Source organism: Homo sapiens, chromosome 4, assembly GCF_000001405.40.
Source record: "Homo sapiens chromosome 4, GRCh38.p14 Primary Assembly".
NCBI lineage: Eukaryota > Metazoa > Chordata > Mammalia > Primates > Hominidae > Homo > Homo sapiens.
The window spans coordinates 79,552,234-79,567,478 of NC_000004.12; the positions used below are offsets into that span (position 1 = coordinate 79,552,234).

General features: G+C 40.9%; 2 long non-coding RNA genes across 2 annotated transcripts in view, besides 2 other annotated features; both read left to right on the forward strand.

The window, feature by feature from the left end:
* LINC00989 (long intergenic non-protein coding RNA 989) overlaps positions 1–15,245 on the forward strand; it is an 83,868-nt gene that overhangs the window by 59,641 nt on the left and 8,982 nt on the right. The gene's annotated exons all lie outside the window — the stretch shown is intronic.
* Positions 6,298–7,295: an enhancer, noted in NCBI's record as "OCT4-NANOG-H3K27ac hESC enhancer chr4:80479685-80480682 (GRCh37/hg19 assembly coordinates)". NCBI's record gives its function as "activates a minimal SCP1, AML or CMV promoter by ChIP-STARR-seq in naive H9 embryonic stem cells {active_cell/tissue: H9 hESC(naive)}" and the evidence as "EXISTENCE:reporter gene assay evidence [ECO:0000049][PMID:30033119]".
* Positions 7,296–8,291: an enhancer, noted in NCBI's record as "OCT4-NANOG-H3K27ac hESC enhancer chr4:80480683-80481678 (GRCh37/hg19 assembly coordinates)". NCBI's record gives its function as "activates a minimal SCP1, AML or CMV promoter by ChIP-STARR-seq in naive H9 embryonic stem cells {active_cell/tissue: H9 hESC(naive)}" and the evidence as "EXISTENCE:reporter gene assay evidence [ECO:0000049][PMID:30033119]".
* The window catches only part of LOC107986294 (uncharacterized), a 61,322-nt gene continuing 55,998 nt past the window's right edge, over positions 9,922–15,245 (forward strand). Inside the window, exon 1 of the long non-coding RNA XR_007058155.1 lies at positions 9,922–10,068. This is a non-coding gene — a long non-coding RNA (uncharacterized LOC107986294). The remainder of the gene's footprint in view (positions 10,069–15,245) is intronic.

Consider the following 15,245-nt stretch of genomic DNA (forward strand, 5'->3'; position numbering starts at 1 on the left):
TCCCTAGTCATGTGACCTTTGAGCAAAGACCTGTAAAAAGTGAATTTTGTGGATAGATATGTGATTGATTGTATATTGACCAAGATGATCTTGACTTCCCTTCATCTTGACTTAACTTTAGACAGGTTTTTTTATGAGTATGGGCCCTTGACCTCCCTTTTCTTTGAGCATTTCCTTTAGAAATTTTGCAATCTTAAATACCTTCTCTGTTTCTTTGAAATGTAAATTTTCTACAACCAAGGAATGTCTCTCCAAAAGACCTGGAAACCTTTTCTTTTAAATGTAATAAGCTAGAAACACAGGGCCCTTATCTCCCAGTCTCTGTGAAAGGGAAGGGGGGCAATAAATGACAATTAGCAAACACAGATGGTCTATTGGCATTGACCAACCTCCTGGCTAACTTTCTCCAGTACTTTTGCACTATCTCACCTCTGAGCTTAAAATCTCTCCTACTTTTTGTTTCAACCTATCTCTCCTTTTGCAATGGACTCGATCCTTATTGCAATAATTTTGAGTAAAGTTTTTCTTTTTCTTTTTTGGAGATGGGGCCTAGCTCTGAACCCAGGCTGGAAGGCAGTGCCATGAACATGAATACTATAGCCTCAACCTCCCTCCCATCACAGCCTCCCAAGTATCTGGCACCACAGGTGAATGCCACCATGCCTGGCTAGTTTGTTTTTTCTCTTTCTTTCTGAAGAGACAGGGTCCCACTCTGTTGCCCAGGCTGCTCTTGAACTTCTGGGCTCAAGTGATACTCCCACCTCAGCCTCCCAAAGTTCTGGGACCAAATAGTTTTCCTTGCCTGATGAATCACTCCAGAGCATTTTTTTCCTTCACAGTTTAGAGTATGAGAGAAAGAGAAAAGTGAAAATGGCCCCAAGAAATTTGACTTGAGCAATTTAAAGGAAGTCGTTGTCACTGATTCGGAAAAACAAAATCGTTTTGGAAGGAAGAAGAAAATAAATGAAGTCACCTTTGCAGCTGTTACATTTGAGTTATATATTAGATATCTAAGAGGAGAGGTAAAGTGACTAGTTGAAAGTAAGAATCTGGAGTTCAAGGAAGGGTACTGAATGGAAATATGAATGTTTGCAAGTGTCAGTATAGGCATAGTATTCACATCCATAGGGTGAAATGAAAGTCAGTGGGTTTTGCCAAAAAGAGGAAAGAGGTCTAATGATTAAGCCCTGGAAAATTTCATTATTATAAGATGATAGGAGACCAGAAAAGTAAAATAACCAGGTACAGTAAATAAGATGAAAGAGGAACAAGGAGAATAGTGTCCTGGAAGCCAAATGAACAGGGTACTACAAGAAGAAGTGATCAACTGTGTGGAAGGCACAGATAGGTTGAATTAAAGATAAAAATTATGAATGCAGGACTTGATTTATCAAAATGGACATTGCAGGGACTTTGACCAGAGCTTTTCGTTGGAATGATGAGAACAAAAGCCTAATTTTGGTGGGTTCCAGAGTGAAAAAAGGAGAGGAAATGGAGACAATGAGTACACACAACTATTTTGAAGCTTTTCCATAAATGGAAGCAGAGATATGCTATAGTGGTTGAAGAGGAATATGAAGTTGAAGAGTATTTCCCTCCCTCCCTCTCTCCCTTCCTCCCTCCCTTCCTCCCTCTGTCCCTCCCTCCCTCACTCCCTCCTTCCTTCCTTCTTTCTTACCTTCCTTCCTTCCATCCTTCCTTCCTCTCTTTCTTTCACTTTCTCTCTTTCTTTTCTTTCATGCGCGTCCGTGTGAAGAAACCACCAAACAGGCTTTGTGTGAGCAATATAGCTATTTCACCTGGGTGCAGGTGGGCTGAGTCCGAAAAGAGAGTCAGCGAAGGGAGATAAGGGTGGGGCCGTTTTATAGGATTTGGGTAGGTAAAGGAAAATTACAGTCAAAGGGAGTTTGTTCTCTGGCGGGCAGGAGTGGGGGTCCCAAGGTGCTCAGTGGGGGTGCTTTTTGAGCCAGGATGAGCTAGGAAAAGGACTTTCACAAGGTAATGTCATCACTTAAGGCAAGGACCGGCCATTTTCACTTCTTTCATGGTGGAATGTCATCAGTTAAGGTGGGGCAGGGCATATTCACTTCTTTTGTGATTCTTCAGTTACTTCAGGCCATCTGGGCGTATACATGCAAGTCACAGGGGATGCGATGGCTTGGCTTGGGCTCAGAGGCCTGACATTCCTGCCTTCTTATATTAATAAGAAAAATAAAACAAAATAGTGTTGAAGTGCTGGGGCGGCGAAAATTTTTGGGGGGTGGTATGGAGAGAGAATGGGCGATGTTTCTCAGGGCTGCTTCAAGCGGGATTAGGGGCGGCGTGGGAACCTAGAGTGGGAGAGATTAAGCTGAAGGGAGGTCTTGTGGTAAGGGGTGATATTGTGGGGATGTTAGAAGAAACATTTGTCATATAGAATGATTGATGATGGCCTGGATACGGTTTTGGATGAATTGAGAAACTAAATGGAATGACAGAAGGAGAAAAACAGGTATAAAAGGTCTAAGAATTGGGATGACTCAGGATATCTGATTAGAGACTGCCTAAGGAGATTCAGCATAGTCCTGCCAGCAAAGATTATTTATTTAAGAGTTAAGAGTGGCAGTTTGGGGATAGCACCAGGAGATATCAGCTGTGATGGCTTGGAAAAACAGTGTAAACTGGCAGTGTAAACAAGAGCAGGGCATGTATGAGTAGTTGAGAATGGTGAATAGGAGTATGACTAGACAGAAGATAGTAGGGATGACAAGTTTTCTGGGGCACAGTCCAAGTTGGTCTGGTGTCTGGAATGAGACTGGGGCCTAATGAAAAGGAGCGTCTTCTATACAGGAGCTTAAATGGGCTGTACCCTGTAGCATTCTGAGGACAGGCCTGAATTCTGAGAAGGGAAAGTGATAAAAGTATTGTCCAGTCCTTTTTGGTGGCTGAGCTTGGTGAGGTGTGTTTTTAAAAGACCTTCAGTCCATTCTACTTTTCTTGAAGATGGAGGACCGTAAGGGAAATAAAGGTTTCACTGAATACTAAGAGCCTGAAAAACTGCTTGGCTGATTTGACTAATAAAGGCTCATCTGTTATCAGACTGTATAGAGGTGGGAAGGCTAAACTGAGGAATTAAGTCTAACAGAACGGAAGAAATGACTGCGGTGGCCTTCTCAGACCCTGTAGGAAAGGCCTCTACCTATCCAGTGAAAGTATCTACCTAGACTAAGAGGTATTTTAGTTATCTGACTCAGGGCATGTTGAGTAAAGCTAATTTGCCAGTCCTGGGTGGGGCAAATCCTCGAGCTTGATGTGTAGAGAAGGGAAGGGGCCTGAAGAATACCTGAGGAGTAGTAGAATAGCAGATGGAACACTGAGAAGTTATTTCCTTGAGGATAGATTTCTACTATGGAAAGGAAATGAGAGGTTCTAAGAGGCGGGCTAGTGGCTTGTGCTATAGTATAACCTGCCTTTACTGGTGTGTGGCGATTAGGCCTGGGTGGAACCGCCATCAATAAATCAAGCATGATCAGGGTGAGGAACAGAAAAGAAGGAAATTTGGGGAAATGGGGTGAATGTCAGGTGGATCAGAGGGATACAGTCATGGGGGTCAGGTGTGGTATCAGGAATAATGTGGGAGGCCGGATTGAAGTCTGGGCCAGGAACAACGGTAATTGTGGGAGACTCAACAAAGAGTGAGTACAGCTGAAGGAGCCGGGAAGCAGAAAGTATATGCATCAGGTATGAGGAAGAAAATAGATTTTGGAAGTTATGAGAACTGTAGAGAGTGAGTTGAGCATAGTTTGTGATTTTGAGGGCCTCTAAAAGTATTAAAGCAGCGGCAGCCACTGCACGCAGACATGAGGGCTAGGCTAAAACAGTAAGGTCAAGTTTGGACAGAAAGGCTACAGGGTGTGGGCCTGGCTCTTGTGTAAGAATTCTGACCGCGCTAACCATGCCTAGGAAGGAAAGGAGTTGTTGTTTTGTAGAAGGTGCTGGGGTTTGAGGGGTCAGTCAGACACGATTGGCAGGGAGAGCACGTGTGTTTTTATGAGAATTATGCCAAGATAGGTAACAGTTGAGGAAGAAATTTGGGCTTGATTGAAGTAATGGGGGCTGTCTGTGAAGCTTTGCGGCAGTACAGCCTAGGTAATTTGCTGAGCTTGATGGGTGTCAGGGTCAGTCCAAGTGAAAGCGAAGAGAGGCTGGGATTAAGGGTGCAAAGGAATAGTAAAGAAAGCATGTTTGAGATCCAGAACAGAATAATGGGTTGTAGAGGCAGGTATTGAGGATAGGAGAGTATATGGGTTTGGCACCACGGGGTGGATAGGCAAAACAATTTGGTTGATAAGGCGCAGATCCTGAACTAACTTGTAAGGCTTCTCTGGTTTTAGGACAGGTAAAATGGGGGAATTGTAGGGAGAGTTTATAGGCTTTAAAAGGCCATGCTGTAGCAGGCGAGTGATAACAGGCTTTAATCTTTTTAAAGTGTGCTGCGGGATGGGATATTGGCGTTGAGTGGGGTAAGGGTGATTAGGTTTTAATGAGATGGTAAGGGGTGCATGATTGGTCGCCAAGGAGGGAGTAGAGGTATCTTATACTTGTGGGTTAAGGTGGGGGGATACAAGAGGAGAACGCAAAGGAGGCTTTGGATTGGGAAGAAGGGCGGCAATGAGATATAGCTGTAGTCCAGGAATAGTCAGGGAAGCAGGTAATTTAGTTAAAGTGTCTCAGCCTAATAAGAAAACTGGGCAGGTGGGGATAACTAAAAAGGAGTGCTTAAAAGAGTATTGTCTAAGTTGGCACCAGAGTTGGGGAGTTTTAAGAGGTTTAGAAGCCTGGCCATCAATACCCACAACAGTTATGGAGGCAAGGGAAACAGGCCCTTGAAAAGAAGGTAATGTGGAGTGAGTAGCCTCCGTATTGATTAAGAAGGGGATGGGCTTACCTTCCACTGTGAGAGTTACCCGAAGCTTGGCGTCCGTGATGGTCTAGGGGGCTTCCGAGGCTATCGGGCAGTGTCAGTCTTCAGCCGCTAAGCCGAGAAGATCTGAGAAGGAGTCAGTCAGAGAGCCTTGGGCCAGAGTTACAGGGGCTCTGGGAGTGGCTGCCAGGTGAGTTGAACAGTCCGATTTTCGGTGGGGTCCCACAGAGCTGGGACGTGGCTTAGGAAGAATCCCGGGCTGCGGGCATTCCTTGGCCCAGTGGCCAGATTTCTGGCATGTGTAGCAAGCTCCTGTGGGAGGAGGTTCTGGAGGAACGCCTGGCCACTGCGGTTCAGGCGTTTTGAAGTTCTTGTGTGCTGGAGATGTGGCTGGGGTTTGTCTCACAGTGGAGGCAAGGAATTGCAACTTTTTTCTATTATTGTATGCCTGAAGGCGAGGTTAATTAAATCCTGTTGTGGGGTTTGAGGGCCGGAATTTAATTTTTGGAGTTTTATTTAATGTTGGGAGCAGATTGGGTAATAAAATGTATTTTGAGAATAAGACGGCCTTTTGAACTTTTAGGGTCTAGGGCTGTGAAGCGTCTCAGGGTTGCTGCCAAACAAGTCATGAACTGGGCTGGATTTTTATATTTGATGAAAAAGAGCCTAAACGCTTCTGATTTGGGATAAGGAAAAAGGAGCATTAACCTTGACTCTATGCCTTTAGCTCCAGCCACCTTTTTAAGAGTAAATTGCTGGGCAGGAGGGGGAGGGCTAGTCACGGAACGAAACTGTAATCCGGACCAGGTGTGAGGAGGGGAGGTGATAAAAGGATTATAGGGTGGAGGAGCAGAGGCTGAGGAAGAATTGGGACCTAGCTCGGCCTGGCGAGGAGCAGCCTGGGGAGGAAGGGAGAGGTCAGATGGGTCTGTAGAAAAGGAAGATTAGAAAGACTCAACGACGCTTGGGGTTGGTACTGAGGGGACAGGTGGGAGGGAAAGAAGGAAGATTTGGGACGAGTTGCACTGGGCACAGAGACTAGGAAGGGACTGATGTGTAAAAGAATGCCTGGACGTCAGCCACCTCAGACCGTTTGCCTATTTTATGACAAGAATTATTTAGATCTTGCAGGATGGAAAAATTCAAAGTGCCATTTTCTGGCTATTTGGAACTACTGTCGAGTTTGTATTGGGGTCAAGTGGCATTGCAGAAGAAAATAAGGCATTTAAGTTTTAGGTCAGGTGTGAGTTGAAGAGGTTTTAAGTTTTTGAGAACACAGGCCAAGGGAGTAGGAGGAGGAATGGAGGGTGGAAGGTTGCCCATAGTGAAGGAAGCAAGCCTAGAGAAAAGAGAGTAGAGAAACAGAGGGAAGGGGTTCGGGGGATCTTACCTTCCAGAAAAGTGGGGAAAGGGGTTGGGGCACAGAGATAAGAGGTCGGGGCATGGAAATAAGGGATTGGGGTGCAGAGATACGAGGTTGGGGCGTGGAAATAAGGGATTGGGGCACAGAGATAAGAGGTCGGGGTGCGGAAATAAGGGATTGGGGCACAGAGATAAGAGGTTGGGGCGTGGAAATAAGGGATTGGGGGTTCTTGCCCCCTAGAAAAGCAGGACTTGCTGCTAAGGGTGAAGGAGAAGGGGTTGGGGTACTTGCCCCTGCCCCAGGAAAGCGGGACTTGCCACTAAGGGTGAAGGACCAAGGCAGGCGTCCCTGCGTGGTCTGACACCCTTGAAACGTCAGTGTATAATCAGAGAGGCGTCCCTGCAATTATTAAACACCAAGGGAAGGCTGCCTTCCCAGTCCGTGACCAGCGCCGGAGTTTTGGGTCCATGGATAAAACGTGTCTCCTTTGTCTCTATCAGAAAATGAAAGTTATTGAAATTAAGAGAAGAGAGAGATTAAAGAGTGGAAAGGAGAAAGTGGTTGAGGGACAGTGAGAGAGGTTGGAGAAGAGAGTAAGAAGAGGCCGCTTACCTGATTTAAAATTGGTGAGATGTTCCTTGGGCTGGTCAGTCTGAGGACCTGAGGTCATAGGTGGATCTTTCTCACGGAGCAAAGAACAGGAGTACAGGGGATTGAGCTCCCAAGGGAGGTCCCCTGATCCGAGTCACGGCACCAAATTTCATGCGCATCCGTGTGAAGAGACCACCAAACAGGCTTTGTGTGAGCAACATGGCTGTTTATTTCACCTGGGTGCAGGCGGGCTGAGTCTGAAAAGAGAGTCAGTGAAGGGAGATAGGGGTGGGGCCGTTTTATAGGATTTGGGTAGGTAAAGGAAAATTACAGTCAAAGGGGGTTTGTTCTCTGGCAGGCAGGAGTGGGGGTCGCAAGATGCTCAGTGGGGGAGCTTTTTGAGCCAGGATGAGCTAGGAAAAGGACTTTCACAAGGTAATGTCATCACTTAAGGCAAGGACCAGTCATTTACACTTCTTTTGTGGTGGAATGTCATCAGTTAAGGTGGGGCAGGGCATATTCACTTCTTTTGTGATTCTTCAGTTACTTCAGGCCATCAGGGCATATACCGGCAAGTCACAGGGGATGTGATGGCTTGGCTTGGGCTCAGAGGCCTGACTCTCTCTTGATATAAAATATTATAGTATGTTTGTGTGCTGATGGGGGATTTAGTAAAATGAGGGATTTAATGTGATTAGAGAATAATTTATGTCTATTAAAGGAGGAGTTCATCCTAAAGAAAGTCATGGGCTGTACGTGGTGGCTCACGCCTGTAATCCCTGCACTTTGGAAGGCTGAGGCAGGCAGATCACCTGAGGTCAAGAGTTTGAGACTAGCCTGGCCAACATGATGAAACCCCATCTCTACTAAAAATACAAAAAATTAGCTGGGTGTGGTGGCATGCACCTGGAATCCCACCTACTTGGGAGGCTGAGGCAGAAGAATCACTTGAACCTGGGAGGCGGAGGTTGCAGTGAGCCAAAATCATGCCAGTGCACTCCAACCAGAACAAGAGCGAAACTCCATCTCAAAAAAATAAATAGGTAAATAATAAATAAGTCATGGACAGTTTATTCTTGCTGAGAAGCAACAAGGCAGAGTATATTAGCTGTATTTGGGTTGGTTGGTAAATGTAATGTTGGAAATATACAGAAATGAAGTTTCTCAGAAACGTAAGACACATAATCCTCAATTGAGTTTGAGGGAGTCAGAGAAACTATTACAGGTTTGAGGAGATTAAAGTATGTATGAGGTAATTATCACATTTAGCTGTTGAGATGCAAGATTGAGTAGATTAATCAAGATTGGGATTCTGCCAAGTGGGCACAATAAAGGGAGTAGGCAGGGCAGTTGAGGCTTAATATTATATACAAGAAAGTGATTTTAGTAGTGGGCCATTAATACCAACTAATTAAGGAAGGAAGTAAAAACAAAAGGAGGGATGAGAAATAATAAAAAGTTGGTAAGACAACTAACTAACCCTAGATCCAGTGGGAATGAAGGACTGTATGAGCTAGAATGCGCAAAGGTAGGGGTTGGAATGATAGGGGTGGTGATCACAGAGTGGCAGGTTTGGAACTGAGAGAACGGAAGGGTACATTTCTTGGTATCAAGAAGATATAAGTTGTGTCTATGGGGACATACTGCTGAGGTAGGGTAGGCAACAGACTATTAGAGGGGAGAAGGTCAAGAAGCTAAAAAGGCTTTGTATTTTGAATTCCCTCATATCCTTATTCAGAAGTCATCTTCTTAGTGATACTTTTTCTGACCATTCTTAAAATTTCAAAGCCCCATCACCCCACCCCCAAACATATACATTACATAGCTATGTTTCTTGGTTTATCTTTTTCTTCTTCTCAGCCCTTATCATGATCTGAAATACTATATATTTTTACTTTTTGGTTTTATTTATTATCTATCTCCTCCACTTGAATGCCATTTCCTTAAAAGCAGTGATTTTTTTTTTTGCTTTCCTGCTCTATCTCCCACCTTGAAATTAGGGCCTGACAAATTTGAGGCACTCAACAAATATTTGACTTATAAATGAAGGGACAAGTTATTGAAAAGATTGTTTTTATGAATCTTAAAATAATCAAAGATTGTAGAGCTGCAATATTTAAGAGAAATGACCGTGAATAGGGGACTAAAATTTTTACAGAATGAAGGCAAGTGGACCAAGGTGCTGCAAATCTATTAGGAAGGATAGGAGTGATATATTCTGATTGTATAAGCTTAAAATCCAGGGATTTCAGGGAGTAGGGGAAGACAGTAATCTGAAAGTAGCTATAAGAAGCAAGGAAGACATCTGCCATACCTCCATGGTCATGGTGACAAAAAAAAGTGAAGGAGACAATGCTCTGATGAAAATAATGTCTTAGGGAAAGAGGCAAGTTTCAGATAGAGTCAGAAGGAAAAAAGAACAATAAAAGAAAAAATATATAAGCAAATACAATCATCCCGCAGTATCTATTTTGTGAGAATATTACTATTTTTCCTTCGTAGAGCAATTTAGAAAGCATAAAATGATTTGACTTTTGCAAAAAAATGTAGAAGAGAAAAACAGGACTCAGTGAGGTTTAATTAATTGCCCAATATTCCCTGACTAGAAAATGGTAGGCTCAAGACTTTATGCTCTTTTCATTACATCTAAACCGGGAAGCAGATACAGTAGGTGCTGTGCTAATTTAGGTATAAATATAGTTTCTTGGAAGTCTTGGATTAGGAGGTAGTAAAATTAAATAAAGCATGGTATGATGGTTAATATTGAGTGTCAACTTGATTTAATTGAAGGATGCAAAGTAGTGTTCCTGGGTGTGTCTGTAAGGGTGTTACCAAAGGAGATAAACATTTGAGTCAGTGAACTGGGAGAGGCAGACCCACCCTCAGTGTGGGTGGTCACCATCTAATCATCTGCCATTGTGGCTAGAATAAAGCAGGCAGAAAAATGTGGAAGGAGCTGACTTGCTGAGTCTTCTGGTCTTCATCTTTCACCTACACTGGATGCTTCCTGCCCTCGAACATCAGACTCCAAGTTCTTCAACTTTTGGACTCTTGGAGTTACACCAGTAGTTTGCCAGGGGCTCTCGGGCCTTTGGCCATAGACTGAAGGCTGCACAGTTGGCTTCCCTGCTCTTGAGGTTTGGGACTCGGACTGGCTTCCTTGCTCCTCAGTTTGTAGATGGCCTATCGTGGGACTTCACTTTGTGATTGTGTGAGTCATTTCTTAATAAACTCCCCTTCATATATACATATATCCTATTAATTCTGTTCCCTTAAGAGAACCCTGACTAGTACGCATGGGTTGTGAAGCTGGCTAATATTAAGATGAGTCAAATGGGGAGATTTTTTTCAGGGATAAAATTGCTCTGTGTTTGAAAGTAAAAATTCCAAGTTTTAGACTTTTTTCTTTTTTTTTTCTGGAATGGATTGGTACCTCTCTGGTGTCCCCAGAACACTTGGCTAAAGGTACAGGAGAGTAGGAGCTGCCCAACCTCCTCTTTGTATTTCATCTCTCCTTTCCTAGGGCAGAGGAAAGGGATAGTAATATCACATCTTCACCCCTTACATTCTTCCTTAGAATTTGGACATTTCCCCTCATGCCTAGAAATGCCAAGGATTTACACTCACAGTCCCTTAAAATTAAGATTTTTACCTTTGCCTGTTTATTTACAACATGCTTAGACATTTGCTATAGCATCTCATTAACTAATATATGAGAGGGATATATGTAGAAGTTATTTTTTTTTATTTTGAGTTTCCAATTTTGTTAAAGGGAATAGTTATAATTATTCTATGTACTTATATAAATGTTATATATAATTTTATAGATAATAGGCTTAATTAAACAAGGTTATTTATGCTTTAATGATAGAGTTTTTTCTCTTTTCTGCCCTGCATTGGCTTGTGAAATTATGCAATGTTACCTTCCATGCTTTAAATTTTGCAAACACTGTTCATCTCACAGAATTAGTTAAAGTCTTTCCAGATGTGGATTTGATTAATAGAAGCTTACTAACTGTGGCTAATTACTGATAATGATAGTATCACAAGGCAACTTCCTCTCCAAAGTCACCTTGGTCTTTCTTCATTGCTAGAATAGAAAGAAACCCCACAGCCATACCTCCCCCAATCAAAATGAAAACAGAATAATATTTAAACTTTAATTTGGGTGGTAATTAATACAGCTGATATAATACTAGGCTTTTAGTATAAAACAAATGATCATTTATAGATATGTGAGAACTTCAGCCCTCCAGACTGGTTTCACAGTGTGGATAGATGAGTCACGCTGAACTAGTGTCTGGATATTCAGAGTGATGGGCAATGACCTATTCTTCTTTATCTCCTTTGAACCAGATTTCCATTTTAATTGTTTCTATCACCTAGAAACAGAGGAACAGAACCAGTGTGGTAATGATCCAAGCTGAAATGAATGTGTCTTTCCCTGTCCTACTCATTTTCTAAAGAGGTAAAGCCCTCTAGTATTGTTGACTGTTCCTCCTGGCTTCCCTCTTCCAAAGCCATATACTGCTTCTCAGTAAAGTGCCATCAAAAGTGAATTTCTCTAAAGATATGAAAATAGACAATAATTAATTGAATAACAACTTGGAGATGCCTTATTTATCGTCTATTAGAATAGATAACAAAACAATATAGACAAAGACAATAAGATTTAAAAAGAAGTTGAGTTAATATCCCACACTGCCTCTTGTACAGATTTTTTAATATAGCAGAAATTCATGCATATGTGTAAGAGTCCATTGGTCAAATTGCATTCTGACCAAGTGGACGTATGAGAAAGCATTAAAAATCATGGTCATCCAATTCTTCTTTGTCTGTTTGAGTCATTTCAATCAGTCTAAGAAATGTTTTGTATTATGAAATTATGAAAATGTAAGAAATAGTGTTCAAGTTTCTTTTGATACACTGGAATGGAAAACAGAATGACTATCTGCAGAAGAGCTAGAGAAACAAGGCAGTGGAAGATCTTGGAAGAGTGAGTGCTTTGCAATAAACAGAGATGATCTTTAAAAACAATATATAAATCCTGTATTTGTGCCCATTTTGTGATGATTTCTTTTGTAAGGATATTATGATTATTAAGAAGCAAAAGATGATGATGCCAACATCTTGAAACAAATCATTTAATTTGGACAGATTCTATATTATATCTTGCTATTCATATAGCTTATAACATTCATTCAGTTTATTTTAGTAAAGTGATCTTGTAGATTTGCATATGGGGTGCTATAGAGGAGGTTCTGGAAGGGCAAAGAGAAGAAGGAATGTTTTGGGTTTATCAGAGTGCTAAGCTGTAAGAATAGCACCAATGAATTGAGCAAAAAGCAAACATGGGCGACAAGCCACATATTTTATACTTTATTCTTGTAAAATTGACAGCAGTAATGCTGATATTAGTAAATACCAACATTAGATTGCAGAAGTATAAAATTGTTAATTGAGTTTCACAAAATTCAGAGCATTATATTATGAAATATTTATGTTGTAGAGTGTAACCTATATATTTTAAGCCTCATCATCCTAAAAGTATAATACAAGAAACAATTTTTAAAATACATATGATTATGGCATTACTCCCCTTTAAGCTTTATTGCCAGAAATTAGATTGCCAATATATGCCCAGTTATCTGGGGGTTAGGGAGATTTCCCAGTGTGCTTATTCATGGAAACTCTTTATATTGGGTTCTCTTGCCTTTTATTGCTGTGTTTTGCTGCTGCCTTTGCTATGGCCTACTATTAATAGATTTCTATTACTGGGTACAACAGTTCTTCACTGATAGCTATTGCTGGAATTTCCAATATGGTCTTAGGGAAAGGAGACAGCTCTTTCACTAGTTATTCTCCCTAAAACATGGTATAGGTGCTTTTAGATTTTCCATAGCACAAAATAGATCATGCTGTAACTTTAAACAAGACTCAGGGATGATGGATGTGAAGTGTGGTGTAGAGAAACTTTCATCACCTATTAAAAGTGGCCATACTTAAAGCAACTATTTTCCATAGGGGAAACACCCACACAGACTTTGATGTCCCCAGAGGAACTATTACTGGAGTCTTGAAATACATTTTTTGAAGTGTGGATTATTTATTTTTAACTAATTACCTTGGGTAACGTATCGCCCATCCATTTCAGATTGCACGGCATTTATCCTTGACTAGTTTCTTTCCAGACAGAGTCTACACGACCCTTCTGCAGTCTTTTCCAACGAGGCATTACAACTAGGAAAGACCTACTTGCAGAACACATTCTATCATGCAAGGTCATCCAATTATTTATGGAGTCAGAACAGTCTAAATTCAGATTTCAAAGAGACATTCCTCCATAACGAAGGGTATACACTGTTAGTTTGTGAGCCATATCCACTCAGCAGACATATTCTATTTAACTCACATAGGTTTAAAATTATGAATTACTTGCCAACCTTTTAATGATGGGATATTTTGTATAAATGTCTAGAACATCAGCTTCTTTTGAAAAACTGAAATATATGGCAATCTTAGAGTCATATTTCTGCATGATCATAATCTGTTGAGACAGAGTAAATGTTACCCCTTCAACAAAGCATAAACTCTTGGGTTACCTCAAGCCCCACCTGGCTCACTTCACTCATTTACTTTATCAGCCTTCTCTCTGAAGACATTTGAGATTCAGTCCCTGCTCCCAAATCCACAAGGGTGTAAGTACACTAAGATATAGTTAATTTAGATTCCTAAATAAAACAGTACACTTCTTGATCCGGAATGGTGCTTTTTTGCTAATTTTAAGACATACATATAGGTAGGTATTTTCCAAAAACTATGGGCAAGCATTTGACTTAAATTCACATCTAACGATTTGCATTAATCTTCTCCAAAAGTGTAATTTACTTTAAAATTAAATTTCAGTCTTCATCCTTGAAGTTGATAGCTCTTTGTAAACTTTAAATGGCATTTTTGCCAATGTTGACAAATCTCAATTGCCAGTCTTCATTCAGGTAATGCATTAGGAGATTAAAGGTCTATCTTCTTACAGTGAGACTGGAAAGACCAAGCCAGTGTGTGCCCAGTCATCATAGCAGAGGACTAGTGGAAATTGGAGCAAACCATAGAACAATCTGCCTTGTGGTACAAATGGGCTGACTTTTTAAACAAAGAAAACTTTGAAGAAATAATGCAAAAAGCATCAGTTACTTCAGTTTCAGCTTCCATAAGATGTTTATGTGTACTGAAATGATGGACCTGCATCAGATTTCTAGACACACATGTCTGTATCTCCTCTCTCTTCTGGTTCTTCTAGGACAGTAAGAATTCATTGAAATAAACATATAAGAACATTCAAAATGTTCACTCTCAGTGAGCTTTCATCATTTAAAACATATTCATTCACTCAGTTTCTCATTCATTCAGGCATTCAACAAATATCTATTAAGCCCATAGTCGGAGTTGATTGTTAAGCCTATAAAGGTAATTTGCCTGCAGGACTCAATAGTCCATTTGGAGGATCTCTCACATACAAACCTTAATAATTCAATGTAATAAATGTTAAAAGTTGTTCAAAGACAGAAAGAGAGTGACACACTAGGGGAGAACCTAAACCTGGATGATTGATTACATAGGAAATAGCATTTAAAGTGACATTTAAAGGATGAGTATGAGTTTTCCAGTCAGAAAACAGGTACGGGGTTTGAGGATGGTGGGGAGGGGATTCCTAATCAGAAAACAAGAAGGCAAAGAAAACATGGAGACCTAAAAGAGTATGGCTTCTTCCAAGAATTAGACTGAATTTTGCAGTATAATGTACCAGGAAAGTAGGTTAAATGAGCTTAACTAATTAGACAAGAGTTGCTAAAATGTTCAATCAAACTTCACAACATCAGGTCAACTGGGGGATGGCTGTGCAAATATTTTTTAATCCCATATAGTTTTCTTTCTTTCACTAATTTGAATTGCCTGCAAACAAAAAGTTTTCAAATAAAGGTCCTGTTAGGACTATTTTAATTTCCAGATAGCATTCAATACTTTGCGAAGAATTAATTTGTTAACAAGTTAAAAAGGTAGGTTTTTCCAACTCTGCCCTCTTAACTTAGATAACTCCTTTTCATATGTCGGGCAAGGGTTGCAGGGCAAAATTGTCAGTCCAACCCAGGTCAAATGATTACACATCTCAAATTAATTGCAGCTGAGCTAATGAGGCTGTATTGGCTTTGTAGTGGACTAGACAGGAATTCAAAAGAGTTGACAATAGAGAAAAATTGGAGTACATTTAGAAAATTCTTAAAAGAATTTAGATCAGTGCCTCTTAAACTTTACTGCATATATGAATCATCTGGGAATTTGTTAGTAATATAGATTCTGTGTTCTCAGTATGCCTGGGTTTAATTTTATTAT